At 41.0% G+C, this 4,122-nt stretch overlaps 1 annotated feature.

Annotated features, from left to right (window-relative positions):
* Window positions 2,486-2,986: an enhancer, noted in NCBI's record as "H3K4me1 hESC enhancer chr7:43086257-43086757 (GRCh37/hg19 assembly coordinates)". NCBI's record gives its function as "activates a minimal SCP1, AML or CMV promoter by ChIP-STARR-seq in primed H9 embryonic stem cells {active_cell/tissue: H9 hESC(primed)}" and the evidence as "EXISTENCE:reporter gene assay evidence [ECO:0000049][PMID:30033119]".

The raw sequence follows: 4,122 nt of genomic DNA, 5'->3' as shown, positions 1-4,122 counted from the left end.
CAGAACAGTTTGAGTAGGATTGGTATTAGTTCTTCCTTAAATGTTTGGTAAAATTCAGCAGTGAAGCTATCAGGTCCTAGGCTTTTCTTTGCTGGGAATCTTTATTGTGGCTTCCATCTCATTTCTTGTTATTGGTCTGTTCAGGTTTTGGATTTCTTCATGGTTTAATCTTGGTAGGTTGCATATATCTAGGAACTTATCCATTTCTTCTAGTTTTCCAATTTATTAGCATATAGTTGCTTGTAGTAACCTCTAATGATCCTTTGAATTTCTGCAGCATTGGTTGTAATGTCTCCTTTTTCATATCTGATTTTATTTGGGTGTTCTCTATTTTTTTCCTTAGTCTGGCTAAATATTTGTCAATTGTGTTTATCTTTTCAAAAACCAACTTTTCACTTTATTGATCTTTTGAATTGTTTTCTTTGTTTCAATTTCATGTATTTCTGCTCTAATCATTATTATTTCTTTTCTTTTATTAATTTTGGCCCATTTGGTCTATAGTGCAGATTAAGTCCAAAGTTTCTTTGTTGATTTTCTGTCTGGATGATCTGTCCAATGCTGAAAGTAGGGTGTTGAAGTCTTTAGCTATTATTGTATTGGGGTCTAGAGCTCTCTTCAGCTCTAATAATATTTGCTTAATATGTCTGGGTCCTCCAGTGTTGAGTGCATATATACTTATAATTGTTATATTCTCTTCCTGAATTGACCTCTTTACTATTATAAAGAGACCTCCTTGTCTCTTTTTATGGTTTTTGTCTTGAGATCTATTTTGTCTGATGTAAGTATAACTACTACTGTTGTTTTTTGGTTTCTATTTGCATGGAATATGTTTTTCCATCCCTTTATTTTCAGTCTATGTGTGTCTTTATAGGTGAAGTATGTTTCTTGTAGGCAACAGATCATTGGGTTTTTTTTTTTAATCCATTCAGAAACTGTGTCTTTTGAATGGAGAGTTTAGTCCATTTACATACAATGTTATTATTAATAAGTAAGAATTTACTCCTGCCATTGTGTTGTTTTCTAGTTGTTTTGTGGTCTTCTCTTACTTCTTTCCTCCCTTCCTGTCTTCCTTTTAATGAAAGTAATTTTCTCTGGTGATGTATTTTAATTTCTTTTTTTTTAGTTTTTGTGTATTCATTGTATGTTTTTTTAAATTTGAGGTTACTATGAGGCTTGCAAATAATATCTTATAACCCATTATTTTAAACTGATGACAATTTAACTGTGTATTTTCAAATAACCTATCTTCAAGCTCACTAATTCTTTCTTCTGCTTGATCAGTTCTCTGATGCATTCTTCAGTATATCAATTGCATTTTTCAACCCCAGAATTTTTGCTTGATTCTTTTAAATTATTTCAATCTCTTTATTAAATTTATCAATAGGATTTTGAATTCCTTCTCTGTGTTATCTTAAATTTCATTGAGTTTCCTTAAAACAGCTATTTCGAATTCTCTGTCTAAAAGGTCACATATCACTGTCTCTCCAGGATTGGTTTCTGGTGCCTTATTTAGTTTATTTGGTGAGATTTTGTTTTCCCAGATGGTTTTGATGCTTGTGGATATTTATCAGTGTCTGAGTACTGAAGAGTTAGGTATTGTAGTCTTCACAGTCTGAGTTTGTTTGTACCTGTCCTTCTTGGAAAGGCTCTCCAGGTATTTGAAGGTACTTGGGTGTTGTGATCTACGTTTTTGGTCACTGCAGTCATATCTGCATTAAGGGGCACCCCAAGCCCAGTAATGCTGTGGGTCTTTTAGACTCATAGGAGTACTGCCTTAGTGGTCTTGGATAAGATCCAGAGGAATTCTCTGGATGCCCAGGCAAAGACTCTCATTCTCTTCCCTTACTTTGTCTCAAATAGATGGGGTCTCTCTTTCTGTGCTGAGCTGCCTGGAGCTAGGGGAATGGTGACACAAGCACCCCTGTGGCCACCACTGCTGGAACTGCATTGGTTTGGACCTGAAACCAGCATAGCACTGGGTCTCACACAAGGCCCACTGTAACCACTACCTCACTCCTGCCTATGTTTGCTCAAGGCCCTAGGGCTCTACAGTCAGCTTCAGGTAAAGCCAGCCAGGCTTGCATCCTTTCCTTTGGGGTGGTGAGTTCCTCCTAGTCCTGGGCAGGTTTAGAGATGCCATCTGGGAACAAGGGCCTGGAGTCGGAAACCTTAGGAATCTACCTGATGCTTTATTTTACTGTGGCTGAGCTGGCACCAAAACCACAAGACAAAGTCCTTCCCACTCTTCCCTTCCCTTGCGACAAGCAGAGGAGTATCTTCCCATGGCCACCACCACCACACACCCATGAGGAGTCCTGCTAGGCTACTACCAGTGTTCACTCAAGGCCCAAGGGCTCTTCAGTCAGCTTGTGGTGAATGCTTCCAGGCCTGGGACTCACCTTTCAGAATAGTGGACTCCCTTTTGGCCCAGGGCAGTCCAAAAATGCCACCCAAGAGCCAAGGACTAGAATCAATGATTCCAAGAGCCTGCTTAGTACTCTACCTTACTGTGACCAAACTGGTACCTAAACTGCAAGAAAAAGTCCCCTTTACTCTTCCCTCTTCTTTTCTCTAGAAGAAGGAGTATTTCTCCATAGCCATCACAACTAGGAATGTACTGGGTCACATCTGAAGCCAGCACGTCTCAGAGTCTCTCTCAAGGCCCATGGTGTGTACTATCTCATTATTGCTGCTGATTATTTAGGGTCCAAGGGCTCTTCAGTCAGCAGGTTATGAGTTCTGTCAGTACTGGGTTCTTTCCTTCAAGGCAGAAGGCTCCCTTCTGGCCTGGGGAATGTCTAGAAATGTATCTGGGAGTTAGGGCCTGGAATGAGTGCCTCAGGTCCCTGTCCAGTGCCAGATCCTACTGTGGCTGAGCTGGAATCCAAGTTGCAAGACAAAGCCCTCTTTACTCTTCCTTCTCATTAAGCAGAAGGAAGGAGTGTCTTTTGAAGCTGCAAGCTGTGCTACCTGGGGTTGGGGGTGGGGAGGCACAAGCACTCCCTTGGCCACCCCGGCTTGGTGTCTCACTAGGTCACATGCCCCACAAGTTCACTGGGTCTGAGCCCAGCACAGCACTAGGACCTGCCTAGGAGTTGCAGTCCTCGTGGCCTAGACTGCCTTTCAAATTTATTTATGTCCCCACAGCACTTTAGCCTGTGGTGGCGAGGCTCACCGAAACTCAAGTTCAGACTGTTGGGATGGACTATTCCCCTTTGGTTGGGGCTGGTCTAAATGCTACCTCCGAGAGTGTTGGCTGAGTTCTGCCTGGTGTTGTTTTCTGCTGTGACTGGGCAGCACTGAGTTCCAAAGCAAAGTCCCACAATCACTGTGCTGTCACTTCCCCAAGCACACAGATTCTGTTTCTGTACCATGCAGCCACTGCTGGGGGATGGGGAGGGGTAGTGCCAGTGATTCAAGACTGTCTTTCCTACCCTCTTCAATGCCTCTTTCTGTGATATGAAATTAAAACCAGGTACTGTGATCACTCACCTGATTTTTGGTTCTTATGAAGGTACTTTTTTTGTGTGTGAATAGTTGATCAATTTGGTGTTCCTGTGGGGGGAATGACTAGCGAAGGCTTCTATTCAGCCATCTCCCATCCTAGAGGTATATCTTATCCTCCATGAATAAAATGTCATAAAAAAGGAAGATCACAAATATGTAAAATTTGGTGTGTGATTGGAAGCTACATATTTCACACATTTTTTACTATGATATTCATTGATAAAATGAATATCCTTTTTTTACCAATTCGATTAAGTACTATGTAAAAGGTACTAAATTAAGCTCTAAAACTTCAGAAATAAATACAAAATTCAAGAAAATAAGTTATCACAGTTTTTACTTTTGTTTGATGTGAATGTATGTCTTTTGAGAAGCAGACACCAAGAAAGGATTAAACATGCAAGGATTTTATTGAGTTATAAAATAGGAAGTGGAGAGAGAGCTGGGAAAAGCTGAAAGAGCTGTCAGACTGCATTGCAATCCTGGCCCTGAATGAAGGAGAGAGAGAAGAATGACTGGATGGGAGACATCCTAGACCCCATGTGGCAATAATGAAGGTTCAGCAAGACTCAAGGGGTCCTTGAGGCACAGTTGGCTGTCAAAGAGTGTTATGTC

This window comes from Homo sapiens, chromosome 7 (assembly GCF_000001405.40).
Source record: "Homo sapiens chromosome 7, GRCh38.p14 Primary Assembly".
NCBI classification, from domain to species: Eukaryota; Metazoa; Chordata; class Mammalia; order Primates; family Hominidae; genus Homo; species Homo sapiens.
The sequence above is the reverse complement of the archived record's forward strand: the minus strand, read 5'-3'. Positions and strand labels throughout refer to the sequence as shown.